The 27,646-nt window shown below is 42.1% G+C and overlaps 1 protein-coding gene and 1 long non-coding RNA gene across 2 annotated transcripts in view, besides 3 other annotated features; one reads left to right on the top strand and one right to left on the bottom strand.

Moving 5' to 3' along the window:
* The window catches only part of GALNT8 (polypeptide N-acetylgalactosaminyltransferase 8), a 52,327-nt gene extending 45,198 nt beyond the window's left edge, over positions 1-7,129 (bottom strand). Inside the window, exons 1-2 of the mRNA NM_017417.2 lie at positions 6,641-7,129; positions 700-997 (exon numbers count right to left, since the gene is read on the bottom strand). Of these exons, the coding sequence (NP_059113.1) occupies positions 700-997; positions 6,641-6,851 (509 nt within the window). The 5' untranslated portion in view covers positions 6,852-7,129. The remainder of the gene's footprint in view (positions 1-699; positions 998-6,640) is intronic.
* Positions 5,021-6,016: an enhancer, noted in NCBI's record as "OCT4-NANOG-H3K27ac-H3K4me1 hESC enhancer chr12:4830679-4831674 (GRCh37/hg19 assembly coordinates)". NCBI's record gives its function as "activates a minimal SCP1, AML or CMV promoter by ChIP-STARR-seq in naive H9 embryonic stem cells {active_cell/tissue: H9 hESC(naive)}" and the evidence as "EXISTENCE:reporter gene assay evidence [ECO:0000049][PMID:30033119]".
* Positions 6,017-7,012: an enhancer, noted in NCBI's record as "NANOG-H3K27ac hESC enhancer chr12:4829683-4830678 (GRCh37/hg19 assembly coordinates)". NCBI's record gives its function as "activates a minimal SCP1, AML or CMV promoter by ChIP-STARR-seq in naive H9 embryonic stem cells {active_cell/tissue: H9 hESC(naive)}" and the evidence as "EXISTENCE:reporter gene assay evidence [ECO:0000049][PMID:30033119]".
* Positions 7,013-8,008: an enhancer, noted in NCBI's record as "NANOG-H3K27ac-H3K4me1 hESC enhancer chr12:4828687-4829682 (GRCh37/hg19 assembly coordinates)". NCBI's record gives its function as "activates a minimal SCP1, AML or CMV promoter by ChIP-STARR-seq in naive and primed H9 embryonic stem cells {active_cell/tissue: H9 hESC(naive and primed)}" and the evidence as "EXISTENCE:reporter gene assay evidence [ECO:0000049][PMID:30033119]".
* Positions 7,427-27,112, top strand: GAU1 (GALNT8 antisense upstream 1). Its single transcript, NR_110112.1, has 4 exons — positions 7,427-7,664; positions 23,232-23,351; positions 24,089-24,216; positions 26,350-27,112. It is a non-coding gene; the product is annotated as a GALNT8 antisense upstream 1 (long non-coding RNA).
* Positions 27,113-27,646: the final 534 nt, after the last annotated feature.

Genomic DNA, 27,646 nt, shown 5'->3' with positions numbered 1-27,646 from the left:
ATGAGGAAGTTGTAGGAAAATGTGGAGGGCCTGCTAAAGCCGTTTCTTTTTAAAGTGATGAAAATGTTTTAAAATTGATTGTGGGAATAGTAAATAACTCTGTGAATATACTGAAAAACATTACATTGCACACTTTAAATGGATAAATTGCATGGTATGTGAATTACATCTCAACAAAGCTGTTTCTAAAAAAGTATTATGAAGGAGGGTGGGAGACACAGAATGAGAAAAAAAAAACAATAGCAAAGGGAAACAGATGGAGAGGGAGAGGGATTGCTCTTCAAATTAGATTTACCAGCAAAGAGGAATTCAAGTAGAGAATTTGAGCAAAGTCCTAGGAAAGGAGGTAGAGCTACTGGCTTTGGTGTGACTTGCGCAAGTCCCTTCTCAGCTTCAGTTTCCTCATCTGTAAAATTATCAGTTAGACCCACCATATCTCTGTTTCTCTGGATCAGAGTTGCAAAGGACCTCTGCTCCTCTGACATTTCTGTTCTTTCCCAAGGGTCTGTAAATATTTGGATCAGTTGGTTATCTTCTCTGAGCTGTCATTATAAAATAAATTGAAAACAACAACTTTGCTCAGCCTGAACCCCTTCCCCAACAATCCCCCACTCCCCCAGCCTTCAATGTTCACTGCTCCCAAAGCTCATCCTCAAATCAAACTGAGGACCCTAGAAGCCCAAGCCTGGTTCATCCCACCTGTAGTCTCGCGTGTCGGGGATGGTGCGATTGAGAGGCAGCTGGTTGCTGAGGTACGCGTTGTAACCAAACTTCCGGAAGAGGTCCTGGGCCGCCTTCTGCTGGGCCTCAGAAAGATCCTCGCCCCATTGCCTGAAAAGCTGTGAGTGTGGGAAGAGTTTCATTTGGGTTTTGTGCTTCTTTGTCTCATTCACCTTGGTTTCCATTGCCTTTAGAAGAGGGCGTACTTCATCTTTCGCCCTCTTCAGTGTGCTGTTCACATTTTCTTGTTGCCTCAGAGCTAATTTCATACTTTCTTCTGCAAATGAAGAGGACAGGGGTGGGAGAGAAAACATTTCAGCCCCTCCTTAGTTACCTGGGTATTCCTTTCCATCCTAATTTCCTCTAACGGTTTACCCACTACATCTTAAAACTTATAAGCTCTTGTCACAGAGGATGTAGTATGTCAGGGAACTTATCCAGCCATGCAAGGCTGTCCCAGCAAAGTATGTACTAGATACGTCTCTCCCTTTAGCCCCATCAAAACTCCTCCATCCCACATCTTCAAAGCTCCTCGAAGAACTGACTATGATCTGAGAAACAGATGGAAAATAAGCTAATGTTTTTCAGAATGAGGCCTGAGAACCACTTACATCAGAATCAATCAGTTGTGATTTTTTTTTTAATGTAGATACCCAGGCTAATCTCCAAATCCACTAAATCAGGATCTGAGAGTTGGGTGGAAATACAGACAGGAGAAATTACAAGAACCTGCTTTTTAATAAAACCAAGGAGTAATTCTTTTTACAGTAAAACTTAAGAAACACTTACTACACCATTAGTGCCTAACAAAGGCAAATCTAACCTAACCACTACCACCATCATCCACCTATGCCCTTGCTTCTCCTGTGCTTGATTTACGAGGAACTTTAAAATTGGAGATGTCCTAGTCTTGCAATTTCCAACTTGCGTGATCGTAAGAATGTCTTCAAAAGCAGGCCGGGCGTGGTGGCTCACGCCTGTAATCCCTGCACTTTGGGAGGCCGAGGTGGGCGGATCACAAGGTTAGGAGTTCAAGACCAGCCTGGCCAACATGGTGAAACCCTGTCTCTACTAAAAATACAAAAATTAGCTGGGTGTGGTGGTGCATGCCTGTAATCTCAGCTACTCGGGAGGCTGAGGCAGGAGAATTGCTTGAACCCGGGAGGTGGAGGTTGCAGTGAGCCGAGATTGTGCCACTGCACTCCAGCCTGGGCAACAGAGCGAGACTCCGTCTCAAAAAAAAAAAAAAAAAAAAGAATGTCTTCAAAAGCTTGTTAAAAATACAGAATCCCAGGCCTCCCCTGAAGATTCTGACTCAATTCTGGGGTAGAGCCTGAGAATCTATATTTTAAACAATTGGTCTATATAAATCTAATTGTCACATTAATTCGGGAAACACTGCCTTAACTCAAAAGAATGAACAGATAGTGATAGACCCAGGCAGAGGATGTTTTATGCAGAAGATGCCCTCCAGGATCCATGACGTCATCTATTATTTACCTCACCTTTCCACCCAGTAAGATTTGTGCTGGAGTATCTTAGCATATGCACCTTGAACTCCCTCAAGCTCAATCTGTGAACTCAGCAAAAAGAGAGAAAAAGTAACCATTTTAGTGTTTAGTGATGATGACATTCTTCAGCACTAAATCCCACCATGGTGATCAAGGCACTCTGACATAGGATCTACTTTGTTTCTACTAATCCTCCCTTAAGCCCACACTAAACTTCAACCAGACTGACAGGATCACGTGTAGCCTGTCCAGCATCTTTCTACAAGTTAGAAGAAGGCATCCTTTTTTTCTGAATGATTGCAACTCAGGGTCAGCAGCTTGGTGAGGGGACAGCCCCATCGTGTGAATTTTCTCCGGGTAGATGCATCTCGTGCCACAGCACATGGCTTGGCAAGCAGAACGTGTGTGCTGGATTTCAGATCCATATACAGCCCCCAAGAGGGAAGCAGGGGAGTCCTGTGACTGGGAGGAGAACATGTTTGTAAAGTGACGTAAGACTGGCCCAAAAAGAAGGAAAAGGAGAAAGAGAATCACCTCTTCAAGTGGTTAAGACAAAAAGAGGATAGTCGAAAAAACTTGGGCAAAAAGTAAATGGTAGGTCTCTCAAAGGAGGCTCATGTGAACACCATGCATACTTGTTCAGGTAGAAAAAAGAAGTGAGAGCATACTGTTTACAGTGTCCCAGATGGAACACTATGGTTATTCATACTTTTCTGTCCTAAGCATACAGGGGCCACAGGGTGGTACTGGGTTCTTCCTACCTCTGAGCTCCTCTGCGTTCTTCCTTGGGGGGATATCTGATTTTCTCTTTCACTCATGGCTATCAGTGGGAGCTGGTTTGGACCTGGCCATCCTAAAGTCAATTTGAGGAAATGCACAATCCGGTAGTATGAATACAGTGTCACTAGGTTATCCCCATAACTTATACTGAAACTTTCCAAGCCCCAAAACAGACACATCCATTGACATTCCCCTAGTGGGGCTTTTATGAACCCTGAGGGAGGTTCCAGAAAACTGGCTTAGAGTCATTGATCCCTCCCTCAATAGGGATATAATTATTATTGTTTGCATTTGCTCTTGGTAGCTTACATGATTCAACTAAGTATCCTTATTGACTTCTGATTTTTTTTTTTTTTTTTTTTTTTTTTTGAGACGGAGTCTCGCTCTGTCACCCGGGCTGGAGTGCAGTGGCACGATCTCAGCTCACTGCAACCTCCACCTCCCAGATTCACGCCATTCTCCTGCCTCAGCTTCCCGAGTAGCTGGGACTACAGGCGCCCGCCACCACGCCCAGCTAATTTTTTGTATTTTTCTAGAGACGGGGTTTCACCGTGTTAGCCAGGATGGTCTCGATCTCCTGACCTCGTGATCCACCCGCCTCGGCCTTCCAAAGTGCTAGGATTACAGGCGTGAGCCACCGCGCCCGGCCGACTTCTGATTTTTTTAAATCTTCCTGGAATCCTGGAGGCAATGAGCAAACAGGATGAAGGGTAATTAAACAGGCTTTTAGTTATAGGAAGCTCTGTGGAAAAAAAAAAAAAAAAAAAGCATTGGTGATCTAGAAACAGGGCCCAGAAGACTTTTTGAGGTTCAACTCAGGTGGTAGTGAGTCTCTGACATCACAACATTTCAGAGCGAATAAAATGTGGGAGCACCAAGAATAACAAGAAAGATCTTTGCAAAAAAGGAAAGAGGAGTAAACCAGATGGCTCTGGCTGGCTCCTCATGGCACATTGTGTCCTAGCTGATGGAAAGAATAGCAGGGCTTTGGGTAGAACTCCTGCCATTTTACGGCTTGAGGAGGCTGAGCCAGTGTGATGAGCCTTGGGGATGGGTGAGACAGTCCTGGTGTGGTCTGGGTGCTCTGCCAAATAGTGAGGGTGGTGCTGGGGTCACCACCCTAGGTACACAGGCATCCTCCTGGTGAAGCTGCACCAAGCATATTTGCATGGGCAATGTCCGACCCACCCAGGTAAGCCAGGGCTTGTGGAGCTGATGATCTTCCCTCTGTTTCATCCACTCTCTTGCCCCGTATCACTCTTCCCTTCATCCCTGTCTGCCTGTCTTTTTCTCTCTCTTTCCTAGACACACCCACTCATTTATTCATCTATGGAATTTCGATGTATGAATAGAAATGAGTAGTGAATGAGACGTTCATGGAAACAGCACTTATGAAACTTGCTTTCCATAAAACTGTACCATAATAAAATATGATGAGTCTTATGAAGGAGGACGTGGAAGGTGCTATGGGTGCCTTAGGACTCCTCCTCTCTCCTTTTATTCTCTCCTTCTCTCCCATCACACTTTCCCTTCTTTTCTTCTTGTCTCCATACAAACTCTTTCACTCTCTCTCCCTGGACTCCCTCACTTCTCTGCTCCTTTCCTGTCCCAGCTCTTTTCTCCTCTCTCATCTCCCTTCTCACTCTCCTCGCTCTTTCCCTGATTTCTTCTCTCCCTTCCTTTTTCTCTTCCTGCCTTTCCTTCCACCCATCTCCCAGCCTCACCCTGAACCCTGACAATGCTCAGTTCTCATTTTAAAAGACACTTTCCCCAACTCCAGCCCCATGTGCACACACCTGGGCAGTCACATCCCTGCCCACACATAAAACACCTCCCTATGGGGTTCCAGCATTTGATCCCTGTTACCTGGGAGCAGGGGGAAATTGCTGCTTCCCTTGCTGAAGTTGGATGCACAGGCACATAAAATTCAGAGGCATTAGACTTCCATGGTGAGCCGGAATCACAAACAAACCCCAGAATGTGTTGAAATCTTACCCTTAAGTTTAAATGAGGAGGTTAAAATTTGGCACAGAGCAGTTTATAGATCACCTTCTGCATCTACTTCACAACCCTATTAGGTCAGGTTGATAACTATCACTATTGTTATCATCATCTCCATTTACAGACCAGGAACCTGAGGCTGAGAGAGAGAAGCACTTGCTCAAAGTCACACAACCACAATGGCACATCAGGATTCGATCTTAGGTCCTCTAACAAAGCCCTCATTAGTTCATGAAAGGAGCACACCGCAAAATGGAAGCGAGGCCCTTGCCCCAGAGATTGCCACCTCTCTTCAACAGCCCCTACCACACATAGGCGTGGGGAAAGGAAAGAGAGATCAGATTGTTACTGTGTCTGTGTAGAAAGAACTAGACATAGGAGACTCCATTTTGTTCTGTACTAAGAAAAATTCTTCTGCCTTGAGATGCTGTTAATCTGTAACCGTACCCCCAACCCCGTGCTCCCTGAAACATGTGCTGTGTCGACTCAGGGTTAAATGGATTAAGGGCTATGCAAGATGTGCTTTGTTAAACAGATGCTTGAAGGCAGCATGCTCGTTAAGAGTCATCACCACTCCCTAATCTCAAGTACCCAGGGACACAAAACACTGCGGAAGGCCACAGGGACCTCTGCCTAGGAAAGCCAGGTATTGTCCAAGGTTTCTCCCCATGTGACCATCTGAAATATGGCCTCGTGGGAAGGGAAAGACCTGACTGTCCCCCAGCCCGACACCCGTAAAGGGTCTGTGCTGAGGAGGATTAGTAAAAGAGGAAGGAACGCCTTTCTGCAGTTGAGACAAGAGGAAGGCATCTGTCTCCTGCCCGTCCCTGGGCAATGGAATGTCTCGGTGTAAAACCCGATTGTATATTCCATCTACTGAGATAGGAGAAAACCGCCTTAGGGCTGGAGGTGGGACATGCGGGCAGCAATACTGCTGTTTAAGGCATTGAGATGTTTATGTGTATGCATATCTAAAGCACAGCACTTAATTCTTTACCTTGTCTATGATGCAGAGACCTTTGTTCACGTGTTTATCTGCTGACCTTCTCTCCACTATTATCCTATGACCCTGACACATCCCCCTCTCCGAGAAACACCCAAGAATGATCAATAAATACTAAGGGAACTCAGAGGCTGGCGGGATCCTCCGTATGCTGAACGCTGGTCCCCTGGGCCCCCTTATTTCTCTCTACATACTTTGTTTCTGTGTCTTTTTCTCTTCCAAAGTCTCTCGTTCCACCTAACGAGAAACACCCACAGGTGTGGAGGTGCAACCCACCCCTTCAATAGGCCTAAGGACAGGTCTATGGCCCTTGGGATTCTTATTCTTCTCGTTGCCTGCACATATGTAGATATAATGATAATGCATGTGCACAAGCCCACACACGCATACACACACACATGCTCACCTCCCCCATACTGCTTGCTCTAATTTCCACTTCTACTCACTTCATTCTCAATACCCATCTCCCATTTGAAGGCACAGAATTCAGTGTCAGATGCTTCAATGAGCGACTGAGATGAAAATGTGACCTCTCACCCATTTTTCCTTCCATATCCCTTTTTCCTAAGTGCCCCAAACACACACACCCACACACACACCTTCCAGGTTAGCATTGTAAACTTACTCAGATCCTGCAATTCCACCTCCAAGTGGGAGAGTCTCTTTATCACTGCCCCGTAGCGTTTATTCAGATGTAAAGGAAGCTCCCTGTGGAGACCACCCGTAAACAGGTTTTGTAAAGTCCCCTTGCTAGAAAATACCAGAAGGAGATTGACAGCAATGGCCAGAGTCAGCCCAATGAAGAGGGCTTTGGGGAGTTTCCTCCAAAACATCATCTTCTTCCTGGGGGTCGTCCACTCCCTGTGGGACTGAGTGTGTCACTGCTGGAGCAGGTTAAGAATCAGAACCAGCCTAGCTTTTGTGGGAAAGAGAGTTCTAGGTGCCAGTTGAGTTGGTCTCCCCTGTGTGAGACACCCATGGGAAGCCACGGGTGGCCTCTGAGGAGCAAAGTCTCCTTATTGCCTTCTTTGTCTTTATGCCCCGAGAGGATAACCGCTCAGCGGCTTTCCACAGGTTGCTCAGCGGCTTTCCACAGGTTGCTCAGGGAGATAACACTCCCTTGAAGCAGAGGAGTATAATCAAACATCTTGGCTCCTCCTGAAACCCACTCCCACCCATTTCAGTCATTAAAGATCTTAAGTAGTTTAGACACACGCCTTTGCTCAAGGAAATTCACAGAAACCGCCACTGTTACACATCTTATCGAATGACTCACTGATTAATCCTTTTCCTCATCCCTTCCTCCCCTTCCCATCTGCCCTAAGAACAAAGAGCTTGTAAACCAATAAATTGGGTGGAGCCCAGAGCTCTGGGCCGTGAGCAAGCCTCCAACGCTCTGGTCCCCTGGACCTGCCTTTTAAACGCTTGTTCTGTCTCTTTCTAACTCCTTTGTCTCCGCCGGACTCGGGGTATCCGCTGGGTGGTGTGGGGCTGGTTTCCCCAACAGCTTTCTCTCCACCCAGCTTCATAGATGACACCCTGCCTGCTAGGCCAGATGTTCTCCGGCCAAGAACACTATTATAGCTGCCTGGCTTCTCCCTGAGCAGCGTCAGGTGTGAGGAGTGCGCATGGCAGCTGCCCAGTGACAGGTAAGTCACCTGGACACACCTTGTACTGTCTCAGAAGTCAGAAGAATGCTTGCTCCTGCAGCTAGCTCAGGCTGCCTGGGTGAGAGGCTTTTCTCTATATATGTTTGTTTGATGTTTAATGTTCTCTCTCCCTGGAAAAACCACCTGGGAGACTCTGATAGGGCATGTGAGGTCTGGTCCTGTGGGTATAAGAAGGGGATAAATAGGATGAAGAAGAAATCACGAAGCAAGAAGTCTCTGTACACTTAGATCCTTGCTTTTTTGGAGAGCTGGGATCTAAGATGTCTTTTTACCTAACTCTACAGGGTTTTGGACATAGTAGGTGTGCAACAAATGCTTGTCCCACAAACTTAAGGACAGACTTTCTTGCTAGTTCCTAGGACTTCACTGCCTAGAAGCAGGTGGAGAAGAGCTGGAGGCGGTGCCCGGGGTTGAGCCTCAGGGGATGACTCCGATTCACTGGTCTCTGTCCTTTGCTTGTCCTCTGCACAACTTCATACACTGGGCTTCTGCCCTGCCCCAGCTTCCAGTAACTCCTTTGCCTCCACACCTCACACTTATAATATGTTTTGGACAAATCACCAGTGATCATCATTGTAGAATAAACACATAAAATTGTTCCCCAAGGCTAAAAGTTCAAAGTTCTCAGTCTACTGTCAATCCCGTCAAAATCACAGCTTCCACCCCGGCCTGGCTCTTTGGACTATTTACTACGTCCCAAACACAGCACATGGTGACATGTGCTGAGGCGGACATGTGGATTAAAGGAAAGTAATGTGGCTTTAGGAAAAACAGGATGAAAATGAACAAAATGAAAAGGAATCACTTCTTCTGTTTCGCAGGGATAGAAAATGTCTCCCAGCCTCCCACTTGCAAATTAGACTCAAAACATAAGAAACGCATGATCCAGCCAGGCGCAGTGGCTCACGCCTGTAATCCCAGCACTTTGGGAGGCCGAGGCAGGTGGATCACCTGAGGTCAGGAGTTCAAGACCAGCCTGGCCAACATGGTGAAACGCCATCTCTACTAAAAATAACAAAATTAGCTGGGCATGGTGGCAGGCACCTGTAATCCGAGCGACTTGGGAGGCAGAGGCAGGAAAATCGCTTGAACCCAGGAGGCGGAGGTTGCAGTGAGTCGAGATCGCGCCACTGCACTCCAGCCTGGGCAACAAGAACAAAACTCCATCTCAAACAACAACAACAACAACTACAAAAAACAAACAAACAAAAAAGCATAACCCTTCTGCTTCTGGGACAAGAAGAAATACCTACATTTATCTTCTCTATTCCTTCCCATCAAGGCAAGTAAAAAGTACACATGATATGTAAAACAAACCTAAGAAGACTCTGAAAGGTAGAGAGAACAGGGCAGGCTGACTAGAGATCTCCAGATATCCTAGCTATTGTAGGAAATAGATTCCAAGTTGCTGGATGCTGGAGCAGTCAACAACTTGGAAATGCAATGGGCAGAGACAATAGAAGCCCCAAGAAAAAGCTGCTTTCTCTAACCAAAGAAACAGGAAATGGGAAGCCTAGCAAGACAGAAGATGTTTAGACAACAACTGCCCTACTCCAGCCAAATGCCACTGAAAACCTTGCAGTGCCATGCCCACCACATCCACAGAGGCCTCGTGGGGAGCCTAGACTTCCAACCTCACCCCAGCTGTGAGGGTTTGCCCCTGCATCCCCCACCTTCCCCTCCAGGGTGTGTCAGTGAAGGTCTCTTGGGGAGCTGGCATTTTTGTCATTGTCCCCACATGATATCAGTAAAGGAACAGTGGCCCTCCCCTTTTCAGCCAGTGTGGTGTCAGCAGAGGGCTAGTGGGGAACCTGAACTCCCTCCCTCACCCATCAGTAATGAGGCAGCCCTCCCCACCAGGTGTCAGTGGAGGCCAAGCATGGAACCTGGGCTTCCTCTCCCACCTGGCAGCGATGAGATGAAATCTCCCTCTCCCCACCAGAACAGTGTATGAAAGGCCTGCTAAAACAGATTTACATAGGATCCAGAGTCTCAAAAAGTTATATTCAGAATGGCCAAGATGCAATAGAAAATCACTTGTCATATCAACAACCAGGAAAATCTCAACTTGGAAGAGCCTATCAACAGACAGCAACACCAGCCGGGCATGGTGGCTCATGCCTGCAATCACAGCACTTTGGGAGGCTGAGGCAGGAGGAGGATGGCTTGATTCCCAGGAGTTTGAGAGCAGCTTGGGCAACATACTGAGACCCTGTTTCTACTAAAAAATAAACTTTTTTTTAAATTGGCATGGCATGGTGGCTCACACCTGTAATCCCAGCACTTTGGGAGGCTGAGGCAGGCAGATCACTTGAGCCCAGGAGTTCAAGACCAGCCTGAGCAACACGGTAAAACCCCATCTCTACAAAAAATTTAAAAAAATCAGCCAGGCATGGTGGCACATGCCTGTGGCCCAAACTACCCAGGATGCTAAGGTGGGAGGATCACCTGAGCCCAGGAGGTTGAAGCTGCAGCGAGCCATGATCGTGCCATTGCACTCCAGCCTGGGTGACAGAGTGAGACTGTGTCTCAAAAAAAAAAAAAAATTAAAGCAGACACAAACACCAAGATGACACAGATGCTGGAATTGTCTGACAAGGATTTAAAAGCAGCCATAGTAACATTGCTTGAACGACTGATTATGAACATGCTTGAAACGAATGAAGAAACAGCAAGGAAATCAGATGTTTTAGCAAAGATATAGAAATCTCAGGAAAGAAATTGAAGACATAAAAAAGAAACAAATGGAAATTTTATAAGTGAAAAATACAATAAACAAAATTTAAAAATCACTGGGTAGGCCTCAACTGTAGAATAAGGACAGAGAAAAGAATCAGTGAACTTGAAGATGGAATAATAGAAAATGCTCAATCTGAAAAACAGAGAGAAAGTAGACTAAAAAAAAATTAAACCTCAAAGGCCGGTGAGATTACAACAACAGATCTAATATTCATGTCATCGGAGCCTTAGAAGGAAAAGACAAAATGTGGGGCTAAATAAGAATGTAAAGAAATAAGGGCTGGCTGGGCACGGTGGCTCAGGCCTGTGATCCCAACACTTTGGGAGGCTGAGGCAGGTGGATCACCTAAAGTCAGGAGTTCGAGACTGTGGGGCCACAGCCTGACCAACATGGTGAAACCCCATCTCTACTAAAATTACAAAAAATTAGCTGGCCGTGGTGGTGCACACCTGTAATCCCAGCTATGGGAGGCTGAAGCAGGGGAATCACTTGAACCCAGGAGGTGGAGGTTGCAATGAGCTGAGATCGCGCCACTGCACTCCAACCTGGGCAAGAAAATCAAAACTCTGTCTCAAAAAAAAAAAAAAAGAAAAGAAAAGAAAAAAGAAATTTCCAAAAGTTGGCAAAAGACACAAACCTACAGATTCAAGATGCTGAGCAAACCCCAAATAGGACAAACTCAAAGAAATTCATGATCATCTGATGCCCAGATGCATTATAATCAAACTTCTAAAAACTAAAGACAAATAAAAATTCTTAAAAGTAGCAAGAGAAAAATGACACTTATAGGGGAAAAACAATTCAAATGATAGAGTTCTCATCAGAAATCAAGAAGACCTGAAGAAAGTATCACAACTTTTCAAGTGCTGGAAGAAAAGAATGGTCAATCCTGAATCCTGTATCCAACAAAAATACCCTTCAGGAATGGAGAAGAAATCAAGACATCTTCAGATAAGAAAACTAGTAGAATTTGTTTCCAGCAGACTTACCTCAAAAGGATGACTACAGAAATTGTTCTAAGTAAAGAAATGACAAAAGAAAGAATCTTGGAACAAGAAAAACAAAAGAACAATGTTAAAATCTGAGTAAATACAAAAGACTTTCCTTTTCCTCTTGAGTTTTCTAAATTACGTTTGGCAACCAAAAATCATAACATTGTCTGCTGTGGTCTGAAAATATATGGAAGAGATATTTAAGACAATTATACTATATATGGGGGAGGGCAAATTAGGGACTTAAATAAGGTAACGTTTCTTCATTTCACGTGGACTGGTAAAATGGTAACACCAGTAGACTGTGTTAAGTTATGTATATACAATGGTGATTACATAGTTCTAAAGTATCTTGAGTGACAGTGTTTGCATGTCTACATGTAATATCTACATGTGATAAAATTGCATAGAACTATATACACACAGTATCAATGTCAATTTTCTGCTTTTGCTATTGCACTATAGTTACATAACTACATATATAATATAGGAGTGTCATCAGCTTCTTTGCTATTTCACTATAGTTACAAATGCAGTTAGATATCTTCGTTCTGGGAATACTAGGTGCCCTCTCATTCATCCAATCACTGCTCAGTTATATAGTTATATATACAGTTATATAAATATAATCGTAGTCATCGGGAAAAACTGGGTGTAAGAGGTATACAGAACTGCTCTGTACAATTCTTGCAAATTTTGTGAATCTGTAATTATTTCCAAATTGTTTTCTTTTAAAACAAAAAGATTCCTACCCTGTATAAAGTGACTGCTGAACTAGATCACTTTCTAAAATTACAAAGTCTTTATTAAAAACACCACAAAAATCGTGGCTACCTCTAGAGTCGGCAGGCATTGGAGGACTGAGGGCTAGAGGTGGGAGGAGACTGCTTTCACTGTGTAATTTTTTAAATATATTCTACATTTTGTGTCTTATTACATGAATTATCCATTAAAAATAAATAAAATAATTTGATCAAACATTGCACCATAATCGGTGCCAGTTTACTGCTGTCTAGAATAGGTCAAAGTTCACTCAGCTAGAGAGGCCAGCAAATACTCCTCTGCAGTCTCGCGTGCACTTGCCCTTCTCCACTAAGACGCTGACGAGACCCCTCTTTCTGGGAACACTGGGTGCCCTCTCATGCATCCAATCACTGATCAGAACACTGGGGCAGTGTTCTTCCAGTGTTTACTTCATAAAATTCACCTGGGTAGCTTGGTAAAAATGCAGATGTCCAGGTTCTAAGCCAAAAGATCCTATTCTGTAGGTCATTAGGAGACCCGGACGCCTGCACTTTTAACAAATCCCTTAAATGAACAGGTTTACACTCTGACCCGAGGGCGCCCGCAAATCCATGGGAGAGGGGCTGATTTACAGTTAGAGTCAATGTGCTTACCACCCTGTAGGAGGCCCCAACTTGCACCAAGGGTCATGAAAGGGCAAGTGACCAATCTGCCTAGGGATGTGGCATCTTGAAAGATTTAGCGTGTGCATGTGTGTGTATGTGTGTGTGTGTCAGTTCCTCCAGCAAAGGGAGCATGTGTAAGGAAGGTTATGGGGACAAGAAAGTAGAAATTTTTTTTTATTATTTTAAAAATAGTAGGGGCCAGGCACGGTGGTTCACACCTGTAATCCCAGCACTTTGGGAGGCTGAGGCGGGCGGATCACAAGGTCAGGAGACTGAGACCATACTGGCTAACACGGTGATACCCCATTTCTACTAAAAATACAAAAAATTAGCCAGGCATAGGGGCACATGCCTGTTGTCCCAGCTACTCAGGAGGCTGAGGCAGGAGAATTGCTTGGACCTGAGAGGCAGAGGTTGCAGTGAGCCAAGATCGCACCATTGCACTCCAGCCTGGGCAACAGAGCAAGACTCCGTCTCCAAAAAAAAAATAAAAAACAGAAAATAGGGCTGAGATCTCACTTTATTGCCCAGGCTGGTCTCAAGCTCCTGAGCTCAAGCAATCTGCCTGCCTCAACCTCCCAAATAGCTGGGATTACAGGCATGAGCTACCACTCCCGGCCACAAATTATTTTAATGAAGATCAAATGGATAAAAGCAGTCAGAACGTGGAGGCGGAGGCGGGGACTGTGATAAGATGATAAGAGCTGTCTACCTCATTTTCGTTTATAATAGCAAATAATAATAAGCTGACCTAAAGTTTCCAACCGCAAGTGAATAGTTAAATAACTAACAGTGCATAATAGTTAAGTAAATTATGCCATCTCCACTCCACAGAATATTAGAATATTATGGACAGCAAGGAGATACTGTTGGAAAAAGTATAGATTTTAGAGCGAGGTAATAATTCTATTACTTACTAGCCAGGTAAACTAAGGCAAGTTATTTCATGTCTCTGAACCTAATTTACCTGATGTGCAATATGGGGATAAATAATACTCTTCTTTGAAGAGCTGTTATGGGATATGGGATAACGTTTGTAACTTGTCTGGCATATTCAATAAACATTAGGTAATTTTCTAAAATTACAAAGTCTTTATTAAAAACACACACGAAGTCAGGCAAGATGGTTCATGCCTGTAATCCCTGCACTTTGAGAGGCTGAGATAGGTGGATCCCTTGAGCTCACGAGTTCGAGACTAGCCTAGACAACATGACAAAAACCCATCTCTAAAAAAAAAAAATACAAAAATGAGCTGGGTGGGAGGAGGTGGAGGGCACCTGTAGTCCCAGCTACTTGGGAGGCTGAGGTGGGAAGATGGCTTGAGCCCAGGAGGTAGACGTTGTGGTGAGCTGAGATTAAACCACTGCACTCCAGCCTGGAGCCAGACGTTGTCTCAAAACACACACACACACACACACACACACACACACACACACACGCATGCAAACACAAAGACAGTGGTTACCTCTAGAGTTGGCGGGGATTGGAGAACTGAGAGATAGAGGTAGGAGGAGACTAATTTTCACTGTGCAATATCACTGATTTTCACTGTGCACTCATTGCTGTGGTTTTTGTTTTAAAATTTTGAAAGCCATATTGCAACATGGAAAACAGCTTATAATAAAATGCTAAGTGAACAAAAAAAGGCTAGAAAATTGTTGAGCTTTCCAAATGGGGACTTACAGGAGTCCTAAATAGTGTCACAGTGCCACTAACAGCCCAAATTTATTGTACCCTTACCACATCTGCTGACATAGGATTCCAAGCTTCTGCAAAGTCTCCTCAAGTACTTCTCAAGGTCCTCAGAGGGGTCTCTGAAGGGGCCCAGCAAGGCTCCAGGTAGCATCTTACAGCTTTCTTTCTCAAGTTCCTCAGCAGTCTTGCCTAAGTTGTCTCTCCACCAAACCCTGCAGCCGCTCACAGCCCATTCCTCTGTGGAATACCCAGGCCCCTACTGCCTCAGAGAATGGGCATCTTAGAAGTGCTCAAAACCATGAGACTGTCTATGACAAAGCTGGAAAAGCTCACCCTACTTTTCATGCTCCACGCAGTTGAGGGTGATAAGCGGCAAAGTCAATGTATCTTATAGTCCATTATCTTACAGTATGTAGTGAAAATGACTTTGAGTGTTTACCCACAGACAGCCATTTTGCTCCCTAGGACACAAACCCAACAAAGAATGGCAGAAATGTTAAGTCAGAGATCATCCAAATGTCACCTGCCACACCTAGTCAGAATCACTTTTCGCTCGGGGGATGAGGACATTGTATTTGACCACACTTGTCTGCCTGATTCCTTTCCTTAGCTTGTTTCTTTCCCAGGAGGCTCCCTAGGTCTTAGTAGACTCCTGGTTGCCTACCCTACCACCCTGCCAGTTGTGCCCATAGATGACTAAGCCCAAGCAATAAGCATAGCTTAGAAACCAGATGGAAACCTCACTCCCACTTCAATGCAAGACTGTGATTACAGCCATGTGTAAAAGAAAACCCAATGCCCAGATTCTTCAATACGAGGAACCAGTGTAACTTTGGAAACATGATTGATTCTAAAATCTGAAGCAGGCAAAATACAAGATGAACCCAAAGCATTTCATAGTACCAGAAAGTAAGGAAAAGCTCAAAAAGCTAAGAGGTGGTGTTGGGGGAAGAGAGACGAAAAAGGAAAGAAAACTAAAACAAGAAAACCAAACAGAAATACAATTTCTAAAAAGACTAGAAGGAAATATGTTGAAATTGCAAGAATGGTCGTCTTATGGTAGTTAGACTATAGGCAATTAATTTTCTTTTTCTATTTTTTATTATTCTGACATGGTCCTATCAGCTTTATAACGGAAACCATTTATAAATTAGTGATATTTTAAAGTAGAATCACTATTCGTGGTAGCCATTTGAAAACAGACAGAGGGGAAAGAAGTGATGAAGGAGGAACCGAAGGTCCAGCTTTTGCACCTGTGTGCTTGGTAGTGCCCATAACAGAGGGAGAGAACAAAGGGGAAGAAGAGAGACGAGAGGAAACACCTAGGTCAACTAGGCACATGTTTCATCGGAAGGCCTCTGAAGATCAGATGTGTCCTGTAAGCAAATGGAAATTTGAGTCTCAAGCACTGGAAAGACATCAAGGACAGGGTAGAAAATTTCCTCAGAGGAAATGAATATAGTTGTGAGAGTAGAAGTGTACTGGAATTAAACATAACAATGGAACATTCAATAACAATGGAAAATTTTATGTTTATGTTGTCTTAAATCCTATTAGGGAAAAAATGGTGATTCGACCATTAATAATGCCTTTCTTTTCTCTCCCTTGCCGCAAAAGCCTCTAGTCAGACAGGAGACGTTTCAGAAAGGATTATTTTTGTTGATCATTATTCTGACCTTTTGTGGGAGAAACTCCTCCTTCATATTTCATCACTAAAATTTCTGCACATTCTATTCTTATTTGGGAATAAGATGTTCTCAAGACATTAAGCTGTATTCTTACTAAATCAGTTATAAATATCTGTACAGAGCCGGGTGTGATGGCAGTCACCCATAGTCCCACCTACTTAGGAAGCTGAGGTAGAAGGAGTTCAAGACCAACCTAGGCAAAATAGCAAGACCCCATCTCTAAAAAATAAAAATTTAAAAAAGACAAGTAATTGTGCAACTTGAGAAGATTCATTCATTTTACAACGAGTAAGATTGATAATGATCGCTAAAAAAAAGCTTATTTATAGATTGTGAGCATGTGATGGAGGGGAAAAAAAGAAATAAATATTTTGTAAGCATCTTGTAAGGGCCATCCAGTGTTAGGTATATCGCACATGTGATTTCATTTGATCTTCATGATCGCCCTGTGATGCAGGAATTATTATTTCATTCCATAGGTAAGGAAACTGAGGACAAGAAGGTTCAATAATATTCACTCTAGATCAGATTGCATCCTTATCTTTTTAGTGTTTTAGGTCATATTTCTTGGGGCTTAGTACAGACAGCCTGTATGTCGTTTTCCTTTTTCATATAAATCCACTTCCTAGTGTCCTTCCTGATCACCTGGGTTGGTTGTCTATATATTTATCATTGTGCTGCTCTATATATGACACAGATGTAAGTGTTTTGACCCCAACTGCTCATCCAGGAGGGGAAAAAGAGATAATATGACCCAGGAAGAAATCATAAGTAAGTTTCCTGAGTAAAAAAGCTTTCAGGCATAACTCAATTTAAACATGGTCTTTTCCACAAAAATCAAGAGGCTTTGACAAATCTCTCCAACCATACCAACAGAGGAAAAATAATCATACCGCAGAATTGGACAGCATGATAATACATAATGCAGCTGCATGTAAAGTATAAAGAGGAAGAACCAATGGTGTAGTCAATATTGTTGCTAAATATTTAACTTTGAGCAATGGCAGAGTGACAGAATTCTTTGTAATTAATGAATCATCCCACAGTACTGATTTTTGAAAAAGGGAATTGACCCAAGGAAAAAGATTATCCTGGAAAACAGGCCAATATAGATTGCAGAACAAGGCAACAGAAGATAACTGGGACCAGAACTAAAATATGGGGTCTGGATTATTTGTCTTGCTGTTGCTGTTGCTGTTGTTGTTGTTTACCATGCCTGCTTATGGGTTTCATTAATGACCTAGCAAGGAAGACTTGGCCACTAGCATCAGAACTACTTTAGAGTAGATACAATTTTTATACAGCCCATACGTGTCCATGTAATTCACTTTCATAAGCCTCAGTTCTTCATATGTTATCTGATGGATAATGATTTGAAGCACTGCCTTACCTACCAGCTGCCACCTGCCAGCCAACAGCCCAGTTTCCATTTCATTGAGGCATTCTAGTGAGACGTTAAATAATTCAAGGTAGAACTAATCAGTTTATACAAAAATTGGAAGAAGCACTTAGGGAAAGATACTTTGGAATTTCAGGCAAGTAAAGGAAAAGTGTTTCTATTCTGTTCCATTTACCTATTTGTCTCTTCTTTTGTCAATACCACACTGCCTTGATCATTGTAGCTTTATAAGAAGTCTGAAGGCCAGGCATGGTGGCTCACGCCTATAATTCCAGCACTTTGGGAGGCTGAGGTGGGTGGATCACTTAAGGTCAGGAGTTCAAGCCCAGCCTGGCCAACATGGAGAAACCCTGTCTCTACTTAAAAAAATACAAAAAAATTTAGCTGGGTGTGGTTGCACATACTTGTAATCCCAGTTACTGGGGAGGCTGATGCAAGAGAATTGCTTGAACTTGTGGGGCGGAGGCTGCAGTGAGCTGAGATTGCACCATTGCACTCCAGCCTGGGCGACAGGGCAAGACTCCGTCTCAAAAAAAAAAAAAAAAAAAAAAAACGGAGTCTGGAATTCAGGTAGTCTGAGCCCTTCCATTTTTTTTTCTCCTTAAGTATTGTGTTAGCTAGTCTGGATCTTTTGCTTCTCCATATAAACTTTAGAATTAATTTCTCGATATTCACAAAATAAATTGCTGGGATTTTTATTGGGATTGCATTAAATCTATAGATCAAGTTGGAAAGAATGCAAATCTTGACAGTACTGAATCTTCCTATCCATTAACTTAAAATATCTCTCCATTTGTTTAGTTGTTCTTTGATTTGTCTCATCAGAGGTTGTAGTTTCCCTCACATAAATCTTGTATGTATTTCACTGGATTTATACCTAAGTATTTCTTTCTTGGGGTATGATAACATAAATGGTGTTATGATTTCAAATTCCAATTGTTCATTGCTGATATATAGGAAAGTGGTTGAGTTTTGTATATTAACCTTGTATCCTACAAACTTGCTATAATCATTTTTTTAAATTCTATTTTATTATTTTTAAGAGTACTGTAAAAGTCCAATTGGATTAGAGAACGTTAGGGAAAAATTGTGTTTTTTGTTTGACTTTTTTTATTATTATTATTATACTTTAAGTTTTAGGGTACATGTGCACAATGTGCAGGTTAGTTACATATGTATACATGTGCCATGCTGGTGTGCTGCACCCATTAACTCGTCATTTAGCATTAGGGATATCTCCTAATGCTATCCGTCCCCCCTCCCCCCTCCCCCCTCCCCCTCCCCCCACCCCACAACAGTCCCCAGACTGTATAATCACTTCTTAGTTCCAAGAGGTTTCTGTTGGTTCTTTGGGATTTTTCTACAAAGACAGCTATACCATCTGTGAGCAAAGACAATTTTATTTCTCCTTTCCTGTGCTCCTTTTATTTCTTGCTCTTTTTTATTGCTTTACTTCCAGTACAAAGTTAAAAAGAAGTGGTGAGAGGAGACATCCTTTTCTTGTTTCTGATCTCAATTGAAAACCTAGTTTCTCGCCAGTAGGTATAATGTTAGCTGTAGTTTTTTGGAGACGTTCTTTATTAAGTTGAGGAAGTTCCCCTCTAATCACAGTTTGGTAAGTGCTTTTATCATGAATGAGTGTTGGAATTTTGTCAAATGCTCTTTCTGTATCTATCAATATGATCATGTGATTTTTCTGCTTTAACCAGTTGATGTATGGATTATATTACTGATTTCCTAACGTTGAGCCAGCCTTGCATACCGGGAATAAATCCCGTTTGGTTGTAGTGTTTAATTCTCTTCTTACATTGTTGGCTTCAATATCCTAACATTTTGCTGAGAATTTTTGCATTTATGCTCATGAGAGATATTGGTCTGTACTTTTCTTATAAAGTCTTTGTCTGATTTTGGTATTAAAGTAATGCTAGCTGCAAATAATGAGCTAGGAAGTATTTCGTCTGCTTCTGTCTTCTGAAAGAGACTATGGAGAATTAGCATAATTTCTTCCTTTAATTTTTGGTAGAATTCACCAGCAAATTGATCTGAGCCTTGTGCTTTCTATTTTGGAAGAATATTGATTATGGATTCCATTTCTTAAATAGATATAGGCTTATTCAGATTGTCTGTTTCTTCTTGTATGTTTTTGCAGATTGTTTTTCAAAAACTTGGTCATTGAAAGCTCATTGTTGTTTGTATTAAAAAAACAAAACAAATAATCAAAAATGTTGGTCCATTTTATCTAGATTGTCAAATTTGTGGGCTAGTTATTCCTAGAAATAAAGTATTTCTTTATTTCTTTTTTTTTTAATGTCCGTGTATCTGTAAAGGATGTCCCTTCTTTCATTTCTGATTTTAGTAATTTGTATCCTGTCTCTTTTTGTTTGTTTTGTTTGTTTGTTCTCACTAGAGGCTTATTGACTTAATCGATCTTTTCAAAGAATCAGCTTTGGGTTCACTGTTTTTCCTCTTGATACCTTGTTTTCAATTTCATTGATTTCTTTTCTAATTTTTATCATTTCTTTTCTTCTGCTTGCTTTGGACTTAATTTGCTCTTCTTTTTCTAGTTAAGCTCAGATTACTGATTTTAGATCTTCTTTTTTGGTATACACATTCTATACTATAAATTTTCCTTTAAACATTGCTTTCACTGCATTTCATAAATGTTGACGTTGTATTTTCATTTTCATTTAGTTCAAAGCATTTTAAAATTTATCTTGAGATCTCTTTTTTGACCTTTGCGTTATTTGGAAGTGTTTTGTTTAATCTCCACGTTTTTAGATTTTGCAGATACCCTTCTAGCTTAATTTTATTGTGGTCTGAGAGCGTATATTATATGATTTCTATTCTTTCAAACTTGTTAAGGCGGGTTTTATTGTCCAGAATGTGGTCTACCTTGGTGAATGTTCCATGTGAGCTTGAAAAGAATCTGTATCTTCTGTTCTCGGATGAAGTGTTCTATACATGTCAACTACATTCAGTTGGTTGATGGTATTATTGAGTTCAACTTATGTCCTGACTGATTGCCTGCTGAATCTATTACTGATAGAGTGATGCAGAAGTCTCCAACTATAACAGTGAATACATCTGTGTCCTCTTTCAGTTCTTTCAGTTTTTGTCTCACATATTTGATGCTGTGTTATTAGGTGCATATACAGTAAGCATTGTTACATCTTCCTAAAGTATCGACCTCTTTATCATGCCCCCGTTATCAAAATACTCCCTTAATTTTTGTTTGTCTGAGAAAGTATTTATTTCTCCTTTACTTTTGAAGGACAGTTTCACAAAATACAGAATTCTAGGCAGATGGGTTTTTTTTTTTTTCTCTCAACACATTAAATATTTCACTTCACTCTCTTCTTGCCTCCATGGCCTCTGAGGTGAAGTCAAATGTAATTCTTATGTTTGCCCTTCTATAAATAAGGTCTTTTTTAATCCTCCTGGCTTGTTTCAATATTTTTTCTTTATCTTTGATTTTCTGGAGATTAAGTATGAAATACCTAGGTGTAGATTTTGGCTCTTTTCCTGCTTTGTACTCTCTGAGTATCCTGAATCTGTGGTTTGGTGTCTGACATTAATTTGGGGATATTCCAAGTTATTATTGCTTCAGGCATTTCTTCTATTCCATTCTCTCTTTATTCTCATTCTGGTATGTTCATTACACATACATTACGCCTTTTATAATTGTCCCACAGTTTTTGAATATTCTGTTCTTTTTTTAAATCTTTTTCTCTTTGTCTTTTAGTTATAGAAGTTTCTATTGATATATCCTGAAGCTCAGGTTTTTTTCTCATCCAAGTCCAGTCTACTAATAACCCCCTCAAAGGCATTATTCATTTCTGTAACAGTGTTTTTGATCTATAGCATATCTTTTTATTCTTTCTTAGAATTTTGATCTCTCTGTTTATATATTAGTCATCTATTTTTGCATGCTGTCTACTTTGATCATTAGTGAAATTACCATATTAATCATAGTTATTTTAAATTCCTAGTCTGAAAATTTCAACATCCTTGCCATACCTCAGTCTGGTGCTAATGTTTGCCTTCTCACCTCAAACTGTGTTTTTTGCCTTTTTAAATTTAATTTTATTTTACCCCATAGGTGGGACAGGATGACTAGAGGTGGCTGGAGTTGGATATCTCTCTCCCCCCAGGTCTGACAAAACTCCTGGGTCAGGTTAGGCTCAGGCTTGTTAAGAAGAATAGAGTGGTCTAGCTTACTTCAAAATGTCTACTTTTCTCCCACTCCGGCCAGAGCCTAAGGGGATGTTTGAGATTCACTGTGAGAACCTGGTTCAGCTCCTGGAGGTAAAACTCATAAAAGTGTAAGTGGCCCCCTAATACCTGACAGCCCTGGAGATTTTAACTCTCAGACTTGTCCACACTGAGTCTCTAGCAATTTCCTATCCCAGCACAGGCCCCCTCATAGTTTTCTGCTTGTGGGTTTCTATTCTGATAAGTTGTGATCCTCTGTACCTGCCTGTCTCTCCCATTTTGGGGCAGTGGTTTGCCCTGTGGCCTCAAATTTCTGAGAGATCTAAGAAGAGCTGTTGATTTTCAGTTTCCAGTTTGTTCAGTTTTTTTTTTTTTTTTTTTTTTTTTTTGAGATGGAGACTTGCTCATGTCGCCCATGCTGGAGTGCAGTGGCACGATCTTGGCTCACTGCAACCTCTGCCTCCCGGGTTCAAGTGCTTCTCCTGCCTCAGCCTCCCGAGTAGCTGGGATTACAGGCGCCCACCACCACACCAGGCTAATTTTTGAATTTTTAGTAGAGATGGGGTTTTGCCATGTTGCCCAGGCTGGTCTCGAACTCCTGACCTCGTGATCTGCCCACCTCTGCCTCCCAAAGTGCTGGGATTACAGGCGTGAGCCACCGCACCTGGCCTGTTCAGCTTTTTACTGATTGTTAGGATAGAGTGATGACCCTTAAGCTTCTTACATGTTGAACCAGAAATTATACATCCAATCTGTTTTGGAAAATAAAATTTTGTTGGAATACATAAATGAATGAGTAGTTGTGACAGAGTCCTTCTGACCCACGAAGCCGAAAATATTTACTATCTGGTCTGCCACAGAAAACGTTTGCTCACCCCTGGGCTACATTAGATAAAAAGGCAAGGCTCAACTATATTCTGCTTACAATAGACTTTTTTTAATTTTATCTTTTCTTTCCAACTTTCATTTCAGGTTCAAGGGTGCATGTGCAGGTTTGTAATATGGGTAAATTGCATGTCACAGGGGTTTGGAGTGCGGATTATTTTGTCACCCAGATAATAAGCATGGTACCCAATAGGTAGTTCTTTGATCCTCACCAAGAGACTCATCTTAAATATAAGACACAAGTGTGTCAAAAGTAAAAGATTTGAAAAAGAAATACCAAAAAAAAAAAAAAAAAAAAAACAACTCACTAAGGGTAAGAAAATTGGTGTGGTTATATTAATATCAGACAAGAAAGACTTCAAACAAGGAGTATTATCAGAGATAAAGAAGTAATTTTTATAATAATAAAAGGACCAATTAGTCAATAGGACATAAAAATCTTAAATGTATACATACCTTGATAACCTTCAGGCCACATTTGACAATTTACTTAAAAGAGTCTCTCTCTTTTTTTTTTTTTTTCAGATGGAATCTCCCTCTCTCACCCAGGCTGGAGTGCAATGGCACAATCAGCTCACTGCAACCTCCACCTCCCGGGTTCAAGTGATTCTTCTGCCTCAGCCTCCCGAGTAGCTGGGACTACAGGTGCGCGCCACCACGCCCAGCTAATTTTTGTATTCTTAGTAGAGATGGGGTTTCACCATATTGGCCAGGCTGGTCTCGAACTCCTGACCTCATGATCTGCCCTCCTCGGCCTCGCAAAGTGCTGGGATTACAGGCGTGAGCCACCACGCTCGGCCAACAGTCTTTCAAAGTAACTGACCTTGGGAAGGTCTTATGGTGACATTCTGTCCTTGAATAAAGAATCTTACTATGAGTTCCTCAAATTATTGATGCAATGATTGATACATAACCTACTGGCATTGAAAAGGATGCTGATTTATTGCTGAATCATGAAGTTTTACTGATGGTCTTGCATGTAGACATTTTAACCTGTATGTTGTAATGTGTATTCAATGATTGCAATCTTTGTATTGAACCCTCCAATGAAAAAGGACAAGTTTGGTATAAGGAGTCCCCCTCCCTGCTCCTAAACTTTTCTATAAAAGCCTTCCAATTTGTAACAGACTCCAGAACATGTGTAACTTTGTTGGTGTGTTTTCCCAAGTCAGTCCTTACATTTGGCTTCCAATAAACCTTTATCAAATTATTTCTGCTGGCTGGGCACAGTGGCCCATGCCTGTAATCCCAGCACTTTGGGAGGCTGGGGCAGGAAGATTGCTTGAGCCCACGGGTTTGAGATCCGCCTGGACGACATAGTGAGACCCCATCTCTATTAAAAATAAAAAATAAAATAAATAAAATAACTTCTGTCTCAACAGCCTTCATTTCAGTCAACAACCACATAACAGATCATCAAAATACATAAAGCAAAAACTGACAGAACTAAAGTTAAATATACATATCTACAATTATGTAGAGAATAACAAACAAAAAAATAGAACAAAAAGTAAGTATATTTATTAGTTTCCTATTGCTGAGTAACAAATCATCACACAGTTGGTGGCTTAAAACAACACAGTTTTGAATGTCAGAAGTCTGGGCAGTCTCAGCTGGGTTCTCTGCTGAATGTTTATGGAGGCCAGAATCAAGGTGTCAGCTGGCCTGGGGTTTTATCTGTAGTCCCGGGGAAGAATTTGCTTACAACGTCATTCAGGTTGTTGGCAGAATGTAGTTCCTTGCAGTTATAGAACTGAGGTCCCCAGTTCCTTGCTGGTTGTCAGCCAGGGCTGCTCTCAGCTCCTAGAAGCTACCTGCATTCCTTGCCACCTGGCCCCCTCCCTCATCAAAGCCTGCAACTGTACATTACATCCTCCTCATGCTCAGGGCCCCTCTGACTTCCTCTTCAGCTACTAGTCAGAGAAAACTATTTGCTTTTAAAGGGCTCATACGAATGTAGCAAGTCTACTCAGACAATCTACTTATCTTAAGGTCAACTTAGTAATCTTAATTGTATCTGCAAAATCCTATTTTGCCATATAACATAATATAATCATGAGAGTAACATCAGGGAGTGGGGATCATAAGGCCCATCTTAGAATTCTGTCTACCACAGTGATGATATAGAAGATCTGAACAACATAATCAACATGGCTTAACTGGTGTTTCCAGAACAGTCATTCATAAAGTTAAGCATAGACCTACACTATCATCCAGCTATTCCTCTCCTAAATAATAAAGACTTTTATATGAATATTAATAAGATTGCATAATTAACAAAATAGAAGATTCTAATGATACAATTAAAGCATGTGTCTTTTCAGAATGAGAAAAATAAAGGCAATGAGAAACTCCAGAAAAAAAAAAATTCCTTTTCTGAAATCACTGAAGAAGTGCGAGAGAGCCGGAGAGGCTGCTAAATAAATGAAACAATTTCCTGGTGTTTGCCTTCTCTTTCTCCTTCCTTGGAACCCTGAGCTCTTAGCTATAGACTTTGGACCAGGGATAGCCCAGATAGGACTCCAGTTTCATCCAATGCTGGGATGGTGTACATCATCAGGGCAGGAAGAGGAATTGTGAGAGCAGCATCCACAGATAACAAGGGGCTCCATGCATGTGCGGTGGTGGTGGTGGTGGTGGTGGTGGTGGTGGTGGTGGTGGTGGTGGTGGTGGTGGTGGTGGTGGTGGTGGTGGAGTGAGTGAAGATTGCTATTTCTGTGAAGGGCTGGAGGCAGCCTGGGCTGTGGATGCTTCTGCGGCAGCTGTTGCTATTGCTGTGACTTCTGTTAGACATTCCTAATGTTGCCACAATGAGCTCATTTGGGAGGCAGGGAGAGAAATGTGTTCAAAAACTTATTTTGAGGTTTTGTCATACTTCTATCTCTCTGGGAATAGACTCCCATCCATGCCTCTGAGGCTTTAACATATACATTTTCTCACACCTTCTCAGGACGATAGCCAAAGTAAGAAACAGCCCATCGTGCATATTTGTTAGGCGTGTGTGTATATGTACAGAGTTGGTATCTTGGCTTGATTGCGAATGTAGCTGATTTATTCAGACAAGTGATGGTGTGACCCTCCAAACTGGTGGAGCGGCTCTGCTAAAGGCTCTCTGCTTCAGGGCTGAGGCGGATCCTGGGACAGAGCCTGACCCTCCTTCCCAGTGTTCCTTCTCCCACCCCAACACAGCTGCAGATGAAGGCTTTCTGGCCATCCTTCCCTTTCCTGGGCAGTTTGCCATTAGGAAACTCTGCTGCCAGTAACTAAGACTAGTTCTACCTTTCCAAGGAGCTTGGCTTTTTATCCCTAGTGCTCTAAGCCAGTGGTTTTTCCCATCATGCTCTGAGAAGCTCTAAGGACTCCATACGGATGCAGTGGGGATGATGTAAGGGTCAGAAGGAGAACAAGGAGTCAGCAGAGCACTAAGGCTAACGTTCAAAATGTTTATTAACTAATGTGCTACATGGGAAAAAAAATCCCTTATTGTCATTTAAATTTGCATTCTTTGGTCACTAATTAGGTTTGCCTTTTTCAAACTTATTAGTCAAATACCTTTCTGCTTTTTGAATATTTCCATGTTCCACAGGTACCCTCAAAGTTTTGATTTTATCTTCTTCCCCTTGTAAATCTGCTTCTTTTCCAGTGTTCCACGCCTTGGTCAATGGTACCACCAGCCAGCGAGGTTCCCAAGCCAAGAACTTCGGAAGCATCCGTGATTCTTCATCTTCCACATCCACTTTATCACCGGAAGCACGCATTCAACTTTCTAAACATCCCTCAGACTGACCCACATCTTTCTATCCACTTTTCACATCTTGCTTGAATGACTTCCCCAGGCCCAGCCAGTCTCCCGCCTCCAGCTCCGCCCCCTTCTGACTCCCTTTATGTGGTACAATCAGAGAGCCCTTCCCAAAGCACAAATCTGCTTTCACTGCTTTGCTTCAAGCCCTTTCGTGGCTCCTATTTCCAGCTGGATGAGGTCCAAGCCTCTTAACGTGCTGTACGTGTACATGCCTGACCCCCGCTACTTGACCAGCCAAGTTTCTTCATAGCGCTGTGTCTTTGTTCCTCCTGCCTAGAATGTCCTTCCCCTTTTCTCTCGCTTCATGGTGTGCCAAACTCCTATCCTGTGAGATCCAGCTTACACGTCAGCTTCCCCGTGATGCTTTTCCTAACTCCCTATTCAGCCAGTGAAGTGCTCCCTGCGTTCCCATGTGGCTTGTATCTCTGTAAAAGCTCCACAGAGCTGTTTTAATTTATCCGTTAATGTACATGTCTTCCCCACTAGACTTTTGCTCCTTAAAGTATCTCCTTCATCTCTGCTTTGCATAACCTAACAGAGTTCAACACATAGGAGTGTCTTAATAAATGCTGAATAAAATAATTAATAAACAAATGAAACAATACAGCAAACTGTTGATTCTCCAAAATGTTTTCTTGAAGAAAATGTGTTCTTCCTTTCTGAGCCCAATTCTATGACTTCTCATTTCATCCAAGATCTTGATCCATCAGGTACCAAGGTAGACTTTAGGTATACAACACTGGACATTAAAAACACTATAAAGCTACAATAATTAAAATAGAATTCAACTTGACACAAAGTAGTCTGTGAAACAGTAGAGCTCCAAACCAGACCTAAATAGTGACAAAATTAGGTACATAACAATAGCCAACATATATGTGGCATTTAGTCATGTTTCAGGCATGCTTCAAAGTGCTCTAGATACATTATTTCATTCAATTCTCACGACCATCGTGTGAGTAGACACTATTAAAACCATTTTACAGATAAGCAAACTGAGGCACAGAGGGGTTAAGAAAAACTTGCCCAAGATCACCAATCCAGCAGTTGTTGAAGTTAGGATTTAAAACCAGGCAGGCTGGTTCCAGAATTCATGCATTTAACCTTTCTCCTATGACATAGATGGTATCATGCATTA

The sequence above is a fragment of the Homo sapiens genome, chromosome 12 (assembly GCF_000001405.40).
Source record: "Homo sapiens chromosome 12, GRCh38.p14 Primary Assembly".
NCBI classification, from domain to species: domain Eukaryota; kingdom Metazoa; phylum Chordata; class Mammalia; order Primates; family Hominidae; genus Homo; species Homo sapiens.
The sequence above is the reverse complement of the archived record's forward strand: the minus strand, read 5'-3'. Positions and strand labels throughout refer to the sequence as shown.